Source organism: Homo sapiens, chromosome 5 (assembly GCF_000001405.40).
Source record: "Homo sapiens chromosome 5, GRCh38.p14 Primary Assembly".
NCBI lineage: Eukaryota > Metazoa > Chordata > Mammalia > Primates > Hominidae > Homo > Homo sapiens.
Window position 1 is genome coordinate 34,659,814 of NC_000005.10, and position 22,660 is coordinate 34,682,473.

General features: G+C 42.1%; 1 protein-coding gene across 8 annotated transcripts in view; it reads left to right on the forward strand.

Annotated features, from left to right (window-relative positions):
- RAI14 (retinoic acid induced 14) overlaps positions 1-22,660 on the forward strand; it is a 176,285-nt gene that overhangs the window by 3,486 nt on the left and 150,139 nt on the right. The gene's annotated exons all lie outside the window — the stretch shown is intronic.

Sequence of the window (22,660 nt, forward strand, 5' to 3'; positions counted from 1 at the left end):
ACTGATTAAATTCTAAGAAGATTACATAGTTGGCTGGATTATTTTTTTCTTTTTTCTTTCTTTGTTTTAATTAAGAAAAGTGGGACTGGTGTAGTGTTGCATGCCTGTAATCCCAGCACTTTGGGAGGCCAAGGCAGGAGGATTGCTTGAACTCAGGAGTTCAAAACTAGCCTGGGAAACATGGTAAAACCTCATCTCTACAAAAAATACAAAAATTAGCTGGGTGTGGTGGTGTGCCTGTGGTCCTAGCTACTCAGGAGGCTGAGGTGGGAGGATTGCTTGAGTCCTGGATGTCAAGGCTGCAGTGAGCCTAGATTACACCACTGCATTGCAGCCTGGGCGACAGAGTGAGACCCTGTCTCAGCTCCCAGCACTTTGGGAGGCCGAGGCAGGTGGATCACCTGAGGTCAGGAGTTCGAGACCAGCCTGACCAACATGGAGAAACCCCGTCTCTACTAAAAATACAAAATTACCCAGGCGTGGTGGCGCATGCCTGTAATCCCAGCTACTCGGGAGGCTAAGGCAGATGAATCGCTTGAACCTGGGAGGTGGAGGTTGCAGTGAGCCGAGATCCCACCGGCCATTGTACTCCAGCCTGGGCAACAAGAGTGAAACTCCAACTCAAAGAGAGAAAGAAAAAGAAAAAGTGGCTCTTCATTGTAAAATTGAAGCATGAGACAAATCCATGGTGCTGTTTGGGATTCTTGTGCAGAAACCTTTTCTCAGCTACTCACTGGCCGTGTGACCTTGGATTACTCACCCAACCTCCTCTTCCTCATTTCTTTGGTAAGATTAAGGGGTAGGAGTAAGCATTTACAAAGGCACATTCCTGTTCTAAGAGTCTGTGAAAATGTTGCTGTGTTAGTGACGCATTTTTACCCTAATGGTAACCACTCAGGCTGAAAGGAGTTTAAGGCATTTAAACACATTGGCGTCCTCATTCCTTCAAATTGCTGGGCACATTCTTTTTTTTTTTTTTCCCTAAGTTCATGTCAGACACATGTTACACATGCAATCATCATGCTCGTGAATTCTGCAAAAGGATCACCAGGCGTCTTGCCTCAGAGCCTTTGCATGTGCTCTTCCCACTACCTGGAAAGCACTTCTCTTAGACGTCTACATGGCTGTGTCATCCCTTCAGGTGTTATGTTGAGACACCTCCTTCCAGTCCAGCCTGCAACCTCATCCCTGCTTTATTTACCTCCAAGGCACTTACCACCTTCTAGCTTGCCGTGTATAGGTTGAGTATTCTTTATTCCAGAATGCTTGGGACCAGAAGTGTTTCAGATTTTGGATATTTTTAAAATTTTTGGAGTATTTGTATTACATGGTTGAACATTCCTGATCCAAAAATTTGAAGTGCTCCGGTGGGTCTTTCCTTTGGTGTCGTGTAGGTGCTCAAAGAGTTTTGGACTTTGGAGCATTTCAGATTCAGATTCAGATTCCTGGTTTAGGGATACTCAATCTATAATTTATATCAGTATTCTGTACTAGATTATGAGCTCTACAAAGGCATGGGGTTTGCCACTCTTGTTTACTGTTGTATTCATGGTGTCTAGAACAATGTTGACCCCTAGCAGGTAAACAGATGTTTGATGAACAAATGGATATGCTTTTTGTTGTTATTTTTTCTCTGTGGAATTTCGCCTTTAACACTTACTGGATATCCTAAATGGTGCTGGTATGTGCACCATATCTCATATTTACAGATTCCTTCAGGGTAAGAAAACTTATGTCTTCTAGGGAAACCACTCCTTTTAAATCTATGTGATTTATCCTATAAGCCACTTAATGTCTTCAGACTTTTTTTCTCCCAACATTTTGCCTAATCCTGAATTTAGAGGAAAACATAAGTAACACGGTGCTTGGAAGCACACCCATCTTTCCTTTTGTGATAACCTGGTTTCCAATGCGATGAATGTGGAAGATGCATAACCAGTAGATGCTGACTGTATTCCACACGACATCTGCAGTAACAGGCCAGCAGCCATCCCAAGCAACATGAAGCACACTGCATTTCTTTCTTTTTTCTTGAGATGGGATCTTGCTCTGTTCTGGAACTCCTGGGCTCAAGTGATCCTCCCACCTCAGCTTCTCAAATAGTTGTGTCTACAGGCGCGTGCCAACACACCTGCCTAGTTTTTCTTTTACTTTTTACAAAGACAAGGTCTCCTTATGTTTTCCAGGCTGGTCTTGAACTCCTGGGCTCAGAAGGTCCTCCTGCTTCAGCCTCTTGAAGTGCTGGGATTACAGGCATGAGCCACTGCCCCCGGTCCACACTGCGTTTCTAAGAACAAACAGTGTATTTTGTTGGATTGTTGCAGAGTGTACATCATCATTGCCCTGACTTTGTGCTTTTATCTATGAGGATTTTTTTGGAGGGGGAGGAGGGATGTATTTTTCATGATGGAAGGAAAATGAGAACCTTAATCTGAAGATGTTGGAGCAACTAATATGTAGAAAGGTCCCTAGATATACTCTAAGAATTGCCACATCGTACAGTCCTTAATTCATGGCACAAAAAACATTCACTATTATAGCACTAATGCATTGTTTCAGTAGAAGCCAACTGAATTTTTTCTACCTTGCATGATGAGTATAGGAGTTGACAAAACAAAGCTAAATATATCAGAGGCCTCTTGGATGCATTTTATATGGTGATAGGGAAAAGGAGTCTAGATTTTTTTTCCCAGTGAACTATATTAGGTATACGATACTGATGATATCCTTTAAAACATTACTAGAATACTGAAGTACACCATTTACATTTCTTATTGTATCCTCTGTAATAAAATGATATTGAAAGAAATCAGTATATTATGGATCCAGATAGGGTTAAACTTTAAGCTGAAAATCATAAACATAGAATTATATGATTATTAGTAAAATGTTGCACAATTTAAACAGATTTTTTTTTTTTTTTTTTTTTTTTAGACACAGAGTCTCACTCTGTTGCCCACGCGGGAGTGCAATAGGGTGATCTCGGCTCACTGCAACCTCCGCCTCTCAAGTTCAATCAATTCTCCTGCCTCAGCCTCCTGAGTAGCTGGGACTGCAGGTACATGCCACCATGCCCGGCTGATTTTTGTATTTTTAGTAGAGATGGGGTTTCATGTTGGCCATGGCTGGCCAGGCTGGTCTCGAACTCCTGACCTCAAGTGATCCACCTGCCTTGGCCTCCCAAAGTGCTGGGATTACAGGTGTGAGCCACCATGCCCAGTTTAAAGATATTTCTTCCCTTTGTAGTTAGTCATGAGCTGAAAAGTACAGGTGGTTCAACAAAAGATAAAAATTGTTCATCAAATGTCAATTTTCTAGCTCCAGCCATCTACAATGAACAAAAAAATTAGCCTCGTCTTTGACATCAGGCCCACTGAGAGATATCAGCAAATCTAATCAGTATTTTAAAAAGTAACTTTTGGCCAGGCATGGTGGTTCACACCTGTAATTCTAGCACTTTGAGAAGCTGAGGCAGGAAGATCACTTAAGCCCAGGAGTTAAGAGACCAGCTTGGGAAACATGGCGAAACTTTGTCTCTAAAAAAATACAAAAATTAGTTGGGCATGGTGGTGCATTCCTGTAGTCCCAGCTACTCAGGAGGCTGAGGTGGGAGGATCACCTCAACCCATGAGATCGAGGGTTGCAGTGAGCCAAAATCTTACCACTACACTCCAGCATGGGCAACAGAGTGAGACCCTGTCTAAAAAAATAAATAAATACAAATAAAAAGTAACTTTACTGACTTAACCATGTGTTTAAAAACAAAGCAGTACCTTCTTCTGTTTAACTGAAGGAAGCATGCCTTGTTCTTCAATTTTATATTCTATGTGTCCAGTAGAGTATCTGCCACACAGTAGGAGATTAACATCTCTCAACTACTCCTGCCTCAGAGGTCATTAAGCCCCTCATGGCGGTCATCAGATATAGAGTTGTCCTAGTCTAGAGGAGAATTAAACAATAATCAAAAGGCAGAAATCAGCAACAAAGTGCGAAGTCGAAGTTCAGAAGATGTGAAAGAAACACTTTTCCTCCTTATCCACTCTTTGCGGAAGTTTGTGCATTGTGTCTTGATTGATTCACCAGCTGGGTTTTTGTGATCAGTGTCACCTCATCTAACCTTACTTGCGATCTAGGCCAGTCCCTTCTGTAGTGAATGGCATTCACTGGAAATTAGTCTTGCCGTATAATTCCATGACCATATGTCACACCGGGGCAAGGGGACACCTTTGGGAAGTTCTTCATGATTTGCTAATCCCTGCTTCTAAATAAGCAGAATCTAGTTGTGAGAAAAGGTGGTTGTAGTCCAAGAAGCTTACTGTACAGTGGAAGGAAATACATGGGCTCTTTTTTTTTCTTTCCTTATTTATTTATTTATTTTCTTAAATTGACATTTAGGCCAGGCACAGTGGCTGCTGCCTGTAATCCAAGCCCTTTGAGAGGCTGAGGAGGGCAGACCACTTGAGCTCAGGAGTTCAAGACCAGTCTGGGCAACATGGCACAAAACCCCATATCTACTTTAAAAAAAAAAAGTATATTTATATTGCAGTGAGCCAAGATCACACCACTGCACTCCAGCCTGGGTGACAGCGAGACACTGTCTCAAAAAAAAAAAAAAAAGGAAAGAAAAAAATTGACATTTAGTGAACACCAAAGCTTATTATCAAGGAACCAGTTTCCCTTACACTTATTTATTATATTACCTTTTAAAGCTCAACTTAATTTTTCATATCCATTTTAGGTATTGTTATCGATAAGATATTCTGTTTTCTTATGATCTAGATAAGTTCAATTTGCTTAATTAATTTATTTATTAAATTTTTTATTTCCATGGGTTATTGGGGAACTGGGTGTTTGGTTACATGAGTAAGTTCTTTAGTGGTGATTTGTGAGATTTTGGTGTACCCATCACCTGAGCAGTATACGCTGCATCCTATTTGTAGTCTTTTATCCCTCACTCCCTTCCCACCCTTTCCTCCTGAGTCCCCAAAGTCCATTTTGTCATTCTTATGCCTTTGCATCCTCATAGCTTAGCTCCTACTTATGGGTAGGAATGTACGATGTTTGGCTTTCCATTCCTGAGTTACTTCACTTAGAATAATAATCTCCAATCTCATCCAGGTCACTGTGAATGCTATTAGTTCACTCCTTTTTATGGCTAAGTAGTATCCATCATATATATATATATATGTGTATATATATATATATGTGTATATATATATGTATATATATGTGTATATATATGTGTATATATATGTGTATATATATGTGTATATATATGTGTATATATATGTGTATATATATGTGTATATATGTATGTGTATATATATACACATATATATGTGTGTGTATATATATATATACACACATATATATATGTATATATATACACACACCACAGTTTCTTTATCCACTCATTGATTGATGGGTATTTGGGTTGGTTCCACGTTTTTGCAATCAGTTTGCTTAATTTAGCTGTTCTTTTCAAAGAGATAATAACTCTAAAACTAACAAGCAGCATCTACCTCTTTTCACTTTCACTAAGTCTGTCCAGTTCCTTTTGCTGGCTGAAGTGATAGACACTCAGAAAACAGGCAGTGTTAACTGATGGAGAATAAAAGGCCAGAGAAGCCTCCTTTTGCACTAGGGCAGCACAGAGTAAAGTGTTTTCCATTTTTTTTTCTTTTTTTTTTTTTTTCTCTAAGAGGAATCCATTTGCAAACCAGAGAAAACCATCCAGCAGTGATTCTTAAATATTCGTGAGGCATAGATGGACACTTGCAAATCTGATGGGGGTTTTGGACCATTCTTCCTTGGAGAAACTGATGTATGTACAATGATGCTATAAATTCATAATTTTTATCAGTCTCATGAGTTTCATGGAACTCCTTGCCCTAAGGCCATTTATAAACCTCCTTGGAATACCCAGGTTAAGAACCCACAATGACCACCTCTCAAAGTTTGAGAATACAATTACAAGGGCTCTATTTTTCTATCATGTGCCGCTATTCCCCACCCCACTGCCACCCACAGTTCGAAAACCTATCATACATGAGTGAAAAGTAATAATTGTGGGTTTTATACTCTCAATTTGAAAACTAGTCATCGGTTGCTATGTCAACCAGTCAACATACTATTGACCATTTTTAGGATCTATTTCTATTGGATGTAATAAAATGCAATTTATATGCAATGAAAAGGTGGTTTTGTAATATGACTATTTCACAGAGACCTGATGAATTCTAAGGATGAGTCTTAAGTTTCTCACCCCAAGGAGTTGGGTCTGTTCTGTCTTCAGCTTTTGGTGGCAGCAGTTTCCCAGTTTTGCTGTTAACAGGAAGGAATGGAGATGTCCCAGGCCCCACCTGACAATTCTTGTAGTCTCACAGGAGATGTCCTGCGCCCCACTTGACAATACTCCTAGGCTCACAGTAGGTGTCCCAGGCAACCCCTGACAGTACTCCTAGGCTCACAGATGTCCCGGCCCCCCGACAGTACTCCTAGTCTCACAGTAGGTGTCCCAGGCACCTCCTGACAGTACTTCTAGGCTCACAGGTAGGCCTTTGGCTGCTCAGCCCAGTGGGGGAAATATCCCCAACTGGCTCTTCACTTTGCCTTTTTCTTCTTGGCCCCCCAGCCTGATGTGGCTGTCTTGATGGGGACCTGAAGAAGACAGGGCCACACTTTTAGTTGAGGAACTGACCCTCAGCTGGAAGCCTGCTCTTCTGGAGGAAAACATGCTTCTGTGGGAAGTATTGTGCATGGGGGAAGGGACTGCCACGTCAGCTGTACTCAGAACTGCTAATATCAGCATTCACCTTGGGTGACGTCCTCAAGCCATTTCAGTCAAAAACCAAGCAAAAAGGGCTGTGGATCTGCCTGTAACAGGCTGCCTGCCTGACCTGACAGAAGCTCTTCAGATGGGTCATTGTAATTGACTTGAGCACCTTCTCTGCCATAGGCACTTTGCTGCTGGACTGTCCTCGAATAAGGTCAGGGCTGGCCGTAGTCATTGTCAGGTTTCCCATTACCAGTATGTGTTGATGGGATAATTGGGTATTAGAAGATCTCTGGATGAATGACAAGCCCTGCCCTCGGGGACTTAAGAGTTTTAGCCAGGTTAGATATGGTCGCAATCTGCCACAGTACAAGGCGACTGTTAGTGGTGGGAATGGGGTGGCGGTGGTGGGAGGGAATTCTTTTCACAGATGAGGCTGAGGCCTAGAGAAATGGCCCCTTGGAAAGGGACAGTTAATGAGAGGCAGAGATGGATGAGACCCTGGTACTGGCTGCTCAGCACTGCACTTCTACACATTATACTTTTCTGTTTCTCTCACAGGTCAACAGTGACCTTGAGACTCCTGTATGTAGCTAATTATAATTGTTATTTGGAATTGATATCATTTTTCTATTTTGAGAAAATGTTCACGTTTCTCTTTTTTTCTGAGACAGGATCTCGCTCTGTCCCTTAGGCTGGAGTGCAGTGGTGCAATCTTAGCTCACCGCAGCCTTGACCTCCTGGGCTCAAGCAGTCCTCCCACCTTAGCCTCCCTGGAGCTGGCACTACAGGTGTGTACCACCACTCCTGGTGAATTTTTGTATTTTTGTAGAGACAGGGTTTCATCATGTTACCCGGGCTGGTCTCAAACTCCTGAGCTCAAGCAATCCGCCTGCTGTGGCCTCCCAAAAGTGCTGGGATTACAGGTATGAGCCACCATGCCCTGCCTGAGCCTTTTTTATTATTATTATTTTTTTTGCATTGGAAAAAAACTATTTAAAACATAGGCATAGAAATTATAGCCAATAACGGTATATTTACCATCCAGAATTTCCTTGGGCTACTTTTGATTTTTGAGGAAAGACTCCTAAGTCTTAAGTGCAGAAGACTTGTATAGACTTGGACAATTCACCTCGAAGAAGAGGGTAAAAATTGGGAGTTCCAGGGGAGGCCAATGGCATTGAGCAGCAGCACGAAGGTCAGAAAAGGTGCAGGACCCAGGCCCTTGGCTGTGAGAACCGTGTAACAAATGTTTGTCAGGCTTTGTTGGTGAGCTCACAGATTCCATGCTGAGGCTCTTAATCTGACAAGAATGCTCAAGTAATTTGAACATCTCCTCCCATGAAAGCTGACATATTGGTGATTGATCCTTTTTCAAAAATGAAAGGAATTACTTCTGTTGCCGAGACAGGAGAGGCATACACAGTGGCCTCTTCTCAGCCACCCAGAGGATGTGGGAACTTGTGAGACAGGAGGCTCATGGACAACCGGCTGCATTTTCTTTCTTCTCTAGGAAAGACAGCCAAGACAGGGGTGGACTCACGCGTATAATCCCAGCACTTTGGGAGGCTGAGGCAGGTGGATCACTTGAGGTCAGGAGTTCAAGACGAGCCTGGCCAACATGGTGAAACCCCATCTCCACTAAAAATACAAAAATTAGCTGGGCATGATGGCGCACGCCTGTGATCCCAGATTCTCGAGAGGCTGAGGCATGAGAATTGCTTGAACTCGGGAAGCGGAGGTTGCACTGAGCCGAGAGTACACCATTGCACTCCAGCCTAGGCAACAGAGCGAGACTCTGTCTCAAAAAAAAAAAAAAAAGGTGGGCCCCACGAAGGGTTCAGTGTCCTTTATTTAACATGTTAGGAGGCCATAGCACCAGGCAAGGTGCTGAGTATTTCATCTTTCTGTCTCCAAGCACAGGCCCACTTCAGACCCAGTTTCTATTTATCATGGGTGCAAGTTGATTCAAATGCTCTCACAACCTTCTTGGGTCTTTGTTTAAAGAAATAAAAAAATTTCTTAGATTTTCTTTGGAGTTGATATCATTTTTCTCTTTTGAGAAAAACATTTCACATTTTTTATGAGCTTTTTTAAATTGGGAAAAAAAAACTATTTAAAATATCGGCATGGAAACTGTCATCAATATCCATATACTTACCATCCAAGATTTTCTTGGAGTGTGTTTTTTGAGGAAAAACTCATGTCTGCCGCTAACTTCATGATGTATACAGCCACTCAGCAATCTTGATAAATTCCTAGGTAATTAGGTTCTTTTTTTTTTCTTGAGATAGAGTCTCGCTCTGTCCCCAGGCCAGAGTGCAATGGCATCATCTCGGCTCACTGCAACCTCTGCCTCTCAGGTTTAAGCGATTCTCCTGCTTCAGCCTCCTGAGTAGCTGGGACTACAGGCGTGTGCCACCACGTCCAGCTAATTTTTGTATTTTCAGTAGAGACGGGGTTTCACTATGTTGGCCAGGATGGTCTTGATCTCCTGAACTCGTGATCCTCCCGCCTTGGCCTCCCAAAGTGCTGGGATTACAGGCGTGAGCCACCACACCCAGCCAGTAATTAGGTTCTTTCTGTGCTATACAACTTTTCACAGTGTTGGGTGTGCTATTTGTTTCCTTTTGCAACTGCTTTTCTTCTACAGTCTCTAAAAGCCTAATGAGACAGGCACACGATGCACTGATTTCCTCCAGGTGATACCTATCTCAAGCCTGTCTCCCGGCCAATCTGTTGATGGCTTTGTTACTGTTTGTGCCTTGTTTGGCAACAGGCTTTCTTTCTGTCTCTTGTTTAAACCAACCCCTGATTATTTTTAAGTGCATAGTCCCTACAACAAAGGGTATTTGATTCTATGCCTCTTTGACCAAATAAATTGAAAGTAGGTGTTTATATCCACTGTGGCAAAAGAAACAAGGAGCAGCTCACCCTGTCCTGGTGATAAGTGCTACAGGCTCGGGTGGCAGGCCGCTGGCTGTGGGCGCTTTTGTGTGTGGCTTCCCGAACAGTAGCACTGTGCACCTCTGCCCCATTCTTGTCTCACTGGGTGATGTTTTTCAGGATTCCATTTGTATAATATCAGTGTTTAGATTGTCCTGAAGAATTGCAGTATTTTCTTTTTTATAGGGTAGAGAGAGTTGTGCAGGATGGAATAATTTCTTAAGGAACAGAAATGTCCTAATGTTAGAGAAGTACATAAGTATCTAAACGTTCTGCTTTTCCAAATTGTTGCCAAGACATGGAAACCTCCATCTCAGTCTGCTGTCAGCCCAGGCGAACGTAAAAATAGCCACTTCACTTGTCTATAATTCTCTTTATATTTTCTCTGTTATTGACTTTGTATCTTTAGCAAAGCTATATGGAAGAGGATTTGTTGACTCCGTGAATTTAATAAAGTTATTCCTTAAGCATATGCTCTACATGTGAGAACAAAGAAATAAAGATGCTACTCCATTCCAGTGAGGCAGGGGTGCGTGAGGACACACAGCCAGAAGGAATGGAATGCCTTTTGCAAATTGGTCCATTCGTATTTCCTAGAGGGACCTCTATGTGCCAGCAGTAATTCTGAGGACTCGTTCCGTCTTTGAAGGCAACTGAATTTTTTCTATTAAGTACTAAAAAGATTGGTCAGTTGGCCAGACTTTTAAAAATTACTGGTGTTGTCTCACGTGCAGCCCAGTGTCACGTGTTGGGCTTGGAACTTGAACCTTAGTTTAATCTAGCCTCCTCTATTTATAAGCTATGCCCCTTTGGCTAAATAAACTTTCTCTGCTGCAATTTCCTAGTCTGGAAGCTGAGAATAATAACAGTAGAATTTAATTCTGAAGTGCTTGTGGGCATTAAATGAGATGACATTCATTTATAATAAAATAATTTAAAAAATAAAATTTTGCAAAGTAATCTTTAAGGATAGCTATTGTGGCTGTTATTATCATTGCTAATGTCATCATGCTCTTTATCACCCTGCCTTTAAGGAACTGCTGATATATTGGCCAACATGATTATTCCTGCCATTATAATCTATAGCAATAAAGAGAGGTTGCCCCATATGTTATTGTTAACACATCTGCCTTGCATCTTCTGTTCAATTTGCAACTGTTTCTCTGTATTAGCATTCTCCCTATTTACCTTTCTATTATTATGTCATTGTGTAATGTGAACGATGTAAAGATGTAGTTCTTTTATTAGTCCCCAGTCTTATCTTATTCCAGATTGCATTAACAAGGTCCTCAGTCTCACCAGAGAACTTGTGTTGCTTCAACCGTAATCTAGACACAGAGTAGTAACGTCTTGGTTAAACTGAAAATGGTAGCTCTTAGCATGAAGCAATGGTATAGTTAATTCCCTATTGATGTTTTTGGAAAATTTTCAGACATGTTTTCTGAATAGTATATAACAGGGTAATAATTTTTTGTTTTTGTTTTTTTGGTTTTCAGCCTCCACTACAGAAAACTTGGGGCTAGGATAAGCTAACACAGTCTTACTTTGTTAGATGCTGTACAGCAAGTAAAAGCTATAGCTTCTTAAGAACAATAAGGAGGATAAACGTAGCCCCATGGGTGCACCTTGTCAGCCCTAATTGAGGATGGTCTTTTGGCACCAGGTAAAGGGGGTGAGAATACAGGAGAGTCCCTGAGTGGTAAACTAGCCCTTTCATAGCAGACATCGTCTTCTCGGCAGCAGGATAATAGTTGAGTTTGCACACACTAGGAGTCCATCAGCCTTTGAGTGAAATAAAATTGTGGGTTAATTATCCCTTCTACGTGTGGCAGAGTGAATCTTTTAAATTACTACTTTCATTGTTTAATTATTAACCTCCAGTATTTGTTAGACTTGTTTTGTGATCTTATGATAGTAAGTGAATGTTAAAGCTGGGAGCGTATACATTTTCTGCTTAATTTTACATCTGCTTTGTTAGTATTAATAATAAGATGCTATGTGCTTGAAGGGAAAAATCTTAATCATTACTGTCTAATAAAAATGCAAGCAAACCACTAATACAGGCCACATAAATCATAGTAAATTATCTAGTGGCCACAATAAAAAGTTTTTTAAAAATGAAATTAATTTTAATAATTTTATCTAGTGTATCCAAAATATTATTTCCAATATGTAATCCATATAAAACTTACTAATGATGGAGTTGACATTCTTTTTTACTAGTGTTTGAAATCCATTGTATAAATCCCATTTACAGTGCATCTCAATTTGCACTAGTCATATTTCAAATGCACAGATGCCACATGTGGCTATAGTATTGGACAGTACTGGTCTAAATAATATGTCTTCTTATAAAGACATATTATTCTTATAAAGAAGACATATTATAGGTCCTGTAACCCCGCTCCACCTGACATCTAGAATGTCCTCAATAAATGCATATTTGATTAAGCTCCTTCTTACCCAGTTAACTAGGATTTTGCCCTTAGCTTTAAGCATTTCTGTAGATAATTACAATAGCTTCATCACAAACTAATTACACATGGGATAATGGACATTTGAGTTTTGGGTTTACAAATCCATATCTCTACTTTTGTGCAAGTGCATTAACCCATGTGGACTTTTTATTTAAAAAAAAACTGAATGATTTTGTAGGCTGGGGTCCTATGGTCCATATTTCTGTATCACCTGTATACTTGGCTTCTAGTTAAGATTCAGTGCATATGACATGAGTAAGAAATTAGAGGCTTCTTTTCTCATAAATTGTAAGTTCTTGAGTAGCCTTAATGCTATTACCGTGTAAAACTCTTGCATTAGATGCAAGGTATGTAGGTTTGTGGATATGTGTGGGGTGTGGGGGGGGAGCATATTCAGTCTTTACTGGTTAATGGAAGCATTCCCCATCCTTCATGTTAGTGCTGTTTGCTTTTTATGCCTGCACACAGAAAGTGGTTGAAAATTGAAAGTCTAGGGTTTCAAATTTAGTTAACAGGAGTTTGTCTTTATCAGGCAGGAGGATCTAGCTGCCTCCATAGCCCAGGCATAGAACAGCCTGCAGTGTTCTGTGACAGAAAAATATCTGAAGGGCTTTTCTATTTGTAGTGTGGCAAATCCAGGCTGGCATGGCCCCTGGGGAGTGATGCCTTGGTTAGGTGGTATCTCTTCCAGGTGTCTTGTTTAGAATAAATTAGGGTGACAGTGTGTTTTCATATCATACCTTCACCACTATTCAAGGATTAACTGCTATTCATCATTAGGCATTGAGGTCTACTGGTCCAGCTGAGCCCCAGCACCCCTTCTCACCCCATACCCCAGGGAAACTTCCCCACCGTCTGTCCTTCTCACATTGTTTCTGCCTATCCTGAAGGTTTTGTTTTTCCTATTCCTCCTTAGCCTGTACTCAAGGGAAACAAGCTTCCTTGTTTCCCTCCTTTGTACTCCCTCAGTTCTGTGGAGTCAAGTCCCAGGAGAGCAGAGAAGATAGGGTCCAATGCTATTTCCAGACCCCAAGCACCATTTCCTCTTAGACCCAGCTGTTACAGTGGCTTTTTATTTCTTGAGGGTTTAAAAATCATTTAATGCTATTCACTTATAGTTAATTGTGATTGTTTTCATTGTTGGCCTGGTTTCTATAGGAGACCCAAAGAGCAGTACTTACTTTCAGAATGGAAATAGCCCAGAAGACTCACACTTGAATTGCCAGCAAGGTCTCCTTCAGTGACTGCACTGATGTTAGAGGAGGGTAATGAATGGAGGACTTATGAGGTGAGGCTGTGTGAGGGCAATGGGGCAGGACAGATCCACAAGCAGTGAATAGCCAAACAAGTGAATGATAAACATGCCCTCCTTAACCTGCAGATTCAAAGGGGACATTGTAGGTCATCCTATTATATATTTCACTTCTGTAGCTTCGTGAAGTAAATTTAGCTGCTGACTTCAGGAATGGGCTGAGCAGACCGAAATGCAACCTGCAATTGTGCTGTTGAAGATCTAGGCACCTCTTTTACTGTGGCATCTGAGTTGGGTCTCTGTCACTTGCAACCTAAGAGTACTGACAAATACTTTGGTGCCCGAGGGCAAGTGTCAGAGACCCAACTTGAAATAGCTTAGGCTAGAAGGGGCGTGCCTTGCCTTATGTGACCCCACATCCTGTGCCAAAAGAGTGTGGCTATAGCAGGGCCTCAGGGATCCCTGGAATCAGCACCCCTCAACCCCATTCCCACCCCTGCCTCTGTCCCCTCTCTCAAACCAGCTAGAACTGGGTCTTGGGCAGCTACCAGGCTCCTGGTTTCCCAATTCTCACCCAGAGAGGAAGGTCTACCTCCCCTCCCCCAACTCTAAAAACCCCAGAGTCTCTGAATAGCCCTGATGAGGAGACATTTCCACCTCTAGGGGAGTAGCTATTACCAGAATGACCTGGTTGGAGTGGGTGGGGAGGGTAGGAGGGAAGGCTGTGCCCTGTTGATCAGACCACTTATGGATCCACTACTGGAGTACCAGGCCACAGCGTTCTGCTCAAGGAAATGGGAGGCCTACCTTCATGTGAGCCAGCACCCCCTCTCTGTTGGACTGCAGACAAAAAAAAAATCCTTTTTTTGAATACACAGTGTTTGAGTAATGTCCAAATATGATAGTTGGGACAGCAGAAATAATTTCTGGACTTTCCTTCCACTCCCTTCTAGGGCATCAGAGTTCACAGAATCTATGTCATTAACATATTTATATATTCCTTATTCTGAAAAGTATTAAGACACTGGATGCCTGGGTAAGGAAAGAGATTCACAAGCCAAGTGACACCACTGCGATCATTGTAAATGACGTCTCCAACATTCCAGAATGTGAGAGTCCAAGTTTCCTTATTTCAAAACTGAGTCAAAGAACCAATGAATATGTAGTAAGCCAACTTCTGGCAATTCATTCTTTCTAGGTTAACAACAGGGATTAAATATAGCCATGAATAGAACCTGTTCTCTTACTCACTCTAAAGATATTTTTCATAACCAATTCCTTTGTATATGGGTCTCCCTTTTGCTTTTTGAATCGGATCTTTTGTTTTTTTTTTTTTTTTGAGGCAGAATCTCCTTCCGTTGCCCAGGCTGGAGTACAGTGGTGCGATCTCACCTGACTGCGACCTCCGCCTCCCAGATTCAAGCGATTCTCCTGCTTCAGCCTCCCGAGTAGTAGCTAGGATTACAGGCATCCGCTACCATGCCTGGCTAATTTTTGTATTTTTTAGTGGAGACGGGGTTTCGCCATGTTGACCAGGCTGGTCTTGAACTCCTGACTTCAGGTGATCCGCCCATCTCGGGCTTCCAAAGTGCTGGGATTACAGGCATGAGCCACCATGCTCAGACTTCATTGGATTTTTTTTTTTTTTTTTTGAGACTGAGTCTCGCTTTGTCACCAGGCCTGAGTCCAGTGGTGTGATCTCAGCTCACTGCAACCTCCACCTCCTGGGTTCAAGTGATTCTCCTGCCTCAGCTTCCCAAGTAGCTGGGACTACAGGCATGTACCACCACACCCAGCTAATTTTTGTATTTTTAGTAGAGATGGGGTTTCACCATGTTGGCCAGGATGGTCTCCATCTCTTGACCTTGTGATCCACCCACCCCTGCCTCCCAAAGTGCTGGGATTATAGGCGTGAGCCTCCCGTGCCCAGGCCACTGGATCTTTTTAAGAACAACTTCACTGAGTTAGAACTTACTTTCTGTAAAATTCACTAATTTTAGTATACAATTCAACAACTTTTAGTAAATTAACAGAATTTTACTGTCATCACCACCATCTAGTTTTAGAACATTTCCCTCACCCCAGAAAGATCCTTTATGGCATTTGCAATTACTTCCTGTTAGCGTTCCCAGCCCTGGACAACCACCAATCTACTTTTTGTCTTTATAAATTTACCTTTTCTGGATGTGTCTTAGAAATAGAATCCTGGCCAGGCGTGGTGGCTCATGCCTGTAATCCCAGCACTTTGGGAGGCACAGGCCGGAGGAACGTTTGAGGCCAGCAGTGCAAGACCAGCCTGGGCAACACAGAGACTCTGTTTCTACAAGAAATACAAAAATTAGTTGGGTGTGGTGATGCACACCTGTAGTCCCAGCTACTCAGGAGGCTGAGGTGGGAGGATCACTTGAGCCCAGGAGTTTGAGGCTGCAGAGAGCTATGATGGTGCCACTACACTCCAGCCTGGGCAACAGAGAAAGACTCTGTCTCTTAAAAAAAAGAAAAAAAAAAAGGAATGGAATCATATAATGTGTGGTCTTTTCTGTCTGACTTTCACTTAACAAAATGTGTTTGAGCTTCATCCATGCTTCACCATGGATCAGCTTGCTATTCCTTTTTATTGCTGGGTAGTATTCCATTATATGGAATTGCCACAGATTATTTACCTAGTTGACAAACATTTCTGTTTTACTTTTTCCACAATTACAAATGCTACTTCTATAAATATTCGGTCTTTGTGTGGACATATGTTTTCATTTCTCTCGTAGGTGGGAATAGCATTGCTGAGTCATGTGGTAAATGTACATTTAACTTTGTAAGAAATTGTCACACTGCATTTCACAATGACTATACCATTTTACATTTTCACCAATAATGTTTGAGGATTGGATCTCTATGTTTAAACTTGATGGGCCCTTTTGGGTTTCAAGATAGGTGAAACTTAAGGAATGGACTTTGGAGGAAGATGTGAAGGGGCTTACCCATACACGGTCACTTGGGGTCAGTTGCTGGGCACTCTGTGAGGTGGTTTTTCTCTTCAGAGGTGAACACGGTGGTGTGTTTAGACGGTGGTATTGTAATGAACATCAAAAGATAAGTAACACAGAACAGGACAAGCATTTTAGAGATCATCTTAAAAATAACCTCGATTTAAGGGATAATTGCATGGAGTTTCTTAGTCCTAGAGTGATTTTTATATTCCAGAGGTAGCTTGTTTTGATTAAGCCATGCTTTTTAAATTGAATGGAGTTAGGGCAGGAGGTAACCTTGGGACTTTTCTTTGGTAGGCTTATTGGAGCATGTGAGTCGTGGATTTGACAGACCAGAAAGTAGTGCTGCCAGAACCACAGCCAATTTTGTGTCAGTCAGTGCCGCTGGCTCTGGCTGATTCATAGACTAAGATCAATCCTGGTTGATGGCAGGTTTTATTCTCAAAGGAGAATGATATATTTGGTTTCCAAGAGAAATGTCGTCTCCTGGATAAAGGCAAGTTGTGAATATAGGAGATGAATGGTCTCAAAAGAGTTTTACTACGTGATCATTATGATACAGTATCTAAATGACATTTATGGTTTAAAAAGAATGTGCTCATTTATTTTCTTGGAAAAAAATCTGAGATTTTAAAGTATTTTAGAAAGGATTCATTGCCAAGATGACATTATTGTTATGTCTTTCCCCCCCTAACTTTATCTGGGCAGTCTTTTAACAAACCTGTACCTTTGTTAATTCATAAAAGAAAGTTTACTTGTTTATTCATTCATAACGTATCTGGTTTGCTGAATAAATAAGATTTATAAGATAGTAATCATAAAGCAGCTTTGTTTTGTATCCCCCTGTCTGAAAGTTATAATTGTGAGGTTAGTATATTCCTTGTCTCTGGATGAAATCTATGACATTTCTATTTTTTTTTTTTTTTTTTTTTGAGACACAGTTTCACTCTGTCACGCAGGATGGAGTGCAGTGGCACGATCTCAGCTCACAGCAACCTTTGTCTCCTGGCTTCAAGTGATTCTTTGCCTCAGCCTCCCCAGTAGCTGGGATTATGGGTGCGCACCACCACACCCGGCTCATTTTTGTATTTTTAGAGGAGACGAGGTTTTGCCATGTTGGCCAGGCTGGTCTTGAACTTCTGCACCCGCCTTGCCCTTCCAAAGTTCTGGGATTACAGGCGTGAGCCACCACACCTGGCCGTTTCTTTTTTTTTAAAATGGGGTCTCACTCTGTCTCCCAGGCTGGAGTGTAGTGACAATCATAGCTCCCTGTAGCCTCAAACTCCTGGGCTCAAGTGATCCTCTTGCCTCAGCCTCCCAAGTACCTGGGCCTACAGGTGCTCGCCACCATACCCAGCTAATTTACTTTTATTTTTGTAGAGATGGGGATCTCACTATGTTGCCCAGGCTGGTCTCAGGCTCAAGTGATCTTCCCATCTTGGCCTCCCAAAGTGCTGGGATTATAGGCATGAGTCACTGCACCCAGCCTCTGACTTTTCTGATTATTCTTAGATTTTTAAAAAAAGTTCTGCAGTCAGTTTCAACTGCTAAATACTCTTAATTCAGAATTTAGAGTCCTCAATGTTGGTGAAAAAGTAATCGTGGTTTTTGTTATTTTAATGGCAAAAACTGCAATTACTTTTGCACCAATCTAATAACAATAAAAAGTTGTAATTTGATTTAAAGTTAAATAGCTGTCCCTTTTCTCTTTGTCCCTACTTCACCCTGCTACCCGGCCTCCTGCATCTTCCTATCACAGTTTGAAATCCCTCTAGGGATCGCTGTATGGTAAAACTGGGGGTAGGGCAGAGGAAGATAAGAAGTTAGAGGGATAAAAAATTTTGTTTTGTTTTGTTTTTTTTTTTGAGACACAGTCTCACTCTGTCACCCTGCCTGGAGTGCAGTGGCACGATCTTGGCTCACCGCAACCTCCACTTCCCAGGTTTAAGCAATCCTCATGCCTCAGCCTCCCGAGTAGCTGGAATTACAGGTGCCTGCCACCACATCCAGCTGAAAATTCTTATTTGACTGGTACTACAGCATGATAGTGCCATGTTCTGAGTTTGACAGATGTTTGTTTTACTTTTAATTGTGGGTTATTTCTGGGAATGTTACGGACTGAATTGTGCCCCTCCACCCCATTTCTAAGTCCTAACCCCCAGTTTCTCAGAATGTACCTGTATTTGGAGATAGGACCTTTGTAGGGGTAATTAAGGTAAAATAAGGTCATATGGGTGGACTCTAATCCAGTATGACTGGTGTCCTCATAAGATGAAGCAATTAGGATGCAGACACACACAGAAGACCATATGAAAACACAGGGCGAAGGCGTCCATCTACAGGCCACGAAGAAAGGCCTCAGAAGGAAACCAACCCTGTTGACACCTTGATCTTGGGCTTTATTTTGTGTTGTTTAAACTACCCAGTCTGTGGTACTTTGCTGTGGCAGCCCTGGCACACCAGCAGAGGGGCCCCTTGGAGATCTCCCTCTTCTCACTCCATTCCTGGACCATCACTGCAGACCCCTCTTCTGCAGTTCCCTTGTTGAATGTCATGTGATTGCCTCCAGTTTGTTGCTTCTCCACCAGGGAATCCGCTTCCCTCTGCCCTCTTTGTCCTTCCAATCTACCCTATTACACAGAATCTAACACCACTTATTTCCCTCTATTGTGAGTTGCCTACTCATGCTCCATAGGAAACACATATTAATGCACAAATAAACTCCAGCACTCAGGCTGATAACAACACAACAGCAAGCTCTCCTTCATTTCCATCCTTGAAGCATAGGCCAGTTTCTCTCCATTTTAGATTTTTCAGGTGTGGATCAGACACCCGTCCAACCTCTTCAGCCCTGTAAGCCTCTCATGAGGTTGAGTAGGTGTGGTAGGAATCATTGCATAGCTCTCTCTAAAGGAAGACCCTCCCACAATCCACACACATTCTGACCCTTTTAGACCTGGATGTGAGTAAGAGCCCTGTTACCAGTTTTCAGCTGAATCCTTTGAAAATTTGCACCATGGGCTAAAATGACTGTGGTATGTCTGTGTTTCCAGCGTAACCGTAGTGCTCATTCATTCATTCATCATTGATTCATTCAGGCAGTGCAAAGTTTCACTAAGTGTTGACTATGAAGAGAGCCTTGCTGAGGCCAGAGGTGAAACCCTGACCCTGCTAGGATGGTCGTTTTCTGTCTTGAGGAGCTCCCTGACTAGAAGGGGAGTAAGGTCTCACATGAAATAACACAGCAGCCCTGTTGATTTGTGGGGGGAATCCCTGGCTTGCCCATAGTTCTAGAATCAGGCTGAGAAAATCTCTGTCCTAAGAATTTGCCTCCAGGGTACTAGCTGATGATCCTTGCTCTCCTCTGACCCTAACGTTGCATTATTGAAAATGGTCAGCATCTTCAGGTAGGCTTAGCACGTGACTGGGGGGATGCTGCACAAGGACAGCAGTAATGAGAAGGAAGGGGGCAGGTGGGAAGGAAAAAGGAGGGGCATCCTGGTAAGATTTCACAGGCCAAATGAGCTGGGTTTTTAAAAACCTTAGTGCTTTTCTCTTGTACATGGTGAAACCCAATTACTATGTTGCGTTTGTACAAATATCCCAATGACGCTAACCCGTGTCAGAGAGCTCACCCTCCTCAGTACACCTGGGATCCACGAGAGCCTTGCTGAGGTCAGAGATGAGGTCTAAAGTCTATCCAAGCACTTTATCCTATATCTTTGTTCTGCGTGTTCACCTGTAAAACATTTATTGATTATATGCCAATGGCCAGGGCTCAAGTTCAGGCAAAATGAAAATACTCTATTCCAAAGTAAGTAGGTAGTCTGAGATGTAAATTTTCAAATCGGCTTAAAACTGATAACACGGTTCTTGAATCTCTCACTCACACCCAGGGTCCAAAGGAGTCAGACTGGGGGAGGGTCTTTCTTTGCAGAGAACTATGAAGTGATTCCTACCACCCCTACTGTCTTAGTCCATTTTCTGTTGCTATAACAGAGTACCAGAGACTGGGTAATTTACAGAGAAAAGAAGCTTATTGGGTTCATAGTTCTGGAGTTTGGGAAGCCCAAGGACATGGTGCTGGTCCCTAGCAAGGGACATCTGGTGGCATAATGTGGATGCGAAAGAGACCACAAGAGCAAGCCTAGCTCACTTTTATAATAACGGGCTCTGGCAAGAACTAATTCACTCCCGTAATAAAGCATGAATCCATTCAGAAGGGTAGAACCCTCATGACCCAATCATTCTTAAAGTCTTCATCCCTTAATACTATTACATTGGCAATTAAGTTTCCAGCACATGAACTTCTGGAGGACACATTCACACCATAGCTTACGGGACCACTTGGGGAGATTGAACAGGTGTCAGACCCTTACCTGGAAAGTCTAAGAAAGGAGTCCCCTATCTTGTGAGAGAGATGGACAAAATGCCCTTTCCTCCTTCACCTGTCCAAATCCCGTGTTTCCTTTAAGTTCAGTTAGAACCCTGCTCCCATTTAGGAAGACTTCTCTGATCTTTTTCTAGCACTTCAAGATTCTCACTCTTTGAATTTCTACAGTATTTAACACCTACTTATAAGATGATTTTTTAATTATTCTTTATTCATATCCTCAGTTAGTTTGGAGTCCTCTGGGCCTACTCATATAAGCTGAGTGTTTGTATGTATTTAAAATTCTGTCTTTCTAGAACAGTACAAATCTGCTGTAAAGTAAATTGGGCAAGAGGGAACAGTACCCGTTGGGCCCTGCTTCCCATTTTTATGTTCTTCCAGAAGCAGCAACATAACTCACAGCATAGCCCTTGTCTGAGAGGCAGAGATTGAAGCAGCTTCCACCCACTGGGAGGAGTTTGGATGGCGTGAGGTACTGTGTTGTTAAGGTACCTTCATTAGGAAGGTTGGTCTGGAGAGACCTTTGACAGAATGTATTTGTTTTGCTGGATTGAGAGAATTGAATGTTTATATAGCTTTGGTTAAAATTCCATTTTTGTTGCAGAGAGATTATTGTCTGAAGAAATACTCAAGCACTTGAGTGAGAAGAGGTAGATGCTGACAAGGAGAGAAGGAGTGTATTTTAGTTTCTTATGCTTGTTCAGAACTTGGTCTGTGGTATGGATTTTAAGTCTGATGTCCTTTTTAACTTGGAAGAAAATGTCCTGAAGTCTATTTAGGGGCACATGTTAGTTAGTGTTCTGGTTTGGCTGAGAATTCTGTAGATGTATTCCTATATTCCGTGATGGAATATTATTATTATTTTTTTCGAGATAGAGTCTCACTCTTTCATCCAGGCTGAAGTGCAGTAGCATGATCATGGCTCACTGTAGCCTTGAACTCCCAGGCTCAAGTGACCCTTCCACCTCAACCTCCTGAGTAGCTAGGACTACGGGCATGTGCCACCACCCCCGGCTAATTAAAAAAATTTTTTTTTGTAGAGACTGGGTCTCGCTCTGGTGCCCAGGCTGGTCTTGAATGCTTGGTCTCAAGCAGTCTTTCCACCTCAGCCTCCCAAAATGTTGGGATTACAGATGTGAGTTGCTGTGCCCGCCCTGCTGCATTTCTTTTTTCATCAGTCTAGAGGTTTCTAACCTGGAATTTTCTTTCTTTCTTTTTTTTTTTTTTTTGAGATGGAGTTTCGCTCTTGTTGCCCAGGCTGGAGTGCAGTGGCACGATCTTGGCTCACCGCAACCTCTGCCTCCTGGGCCCAAGCGATTCTCCTGCCTCAGCCTCGGCAGTATCTGGGATTACAGGCATGCGCCACCACGCCCGGCTAATTTTGTATTTTTGGTAGAGACAGGGTTTCACCATGTTGGTCAGGCTGGTCTTGAACTTCCGACCTCAAATGATCCACCCGCCTCGGCCTCCCAAAGTGCTGGGATTATGGGCATGAGCCACCGTACCTGGCTAACCTGGAATTTTCTTAATCCTAAAGAGTGGAGAATGTAATAGAGATTATTAAGCTTTTAAAAAAAAAACAGCTTTGTTGAGATATCATTCATATACCATTCACTTCACCTCCTGAAAGTGTACAAATGAATGGTTTTTAGTATGTTCACAGGTTGTGCAGCCATTACAGCAGTAAATCTTAGAACATTTTCATTACACCCAAAAGAAAACCCCATATCCATTGTAAGGGTTTTTTTTTTTAAATACTCAAAGAAGTTTAACTTTTTTGTTTGTGATAAAGCTGTACAGGCTAATATCAAGGTTTTAAAATTCAGGCTA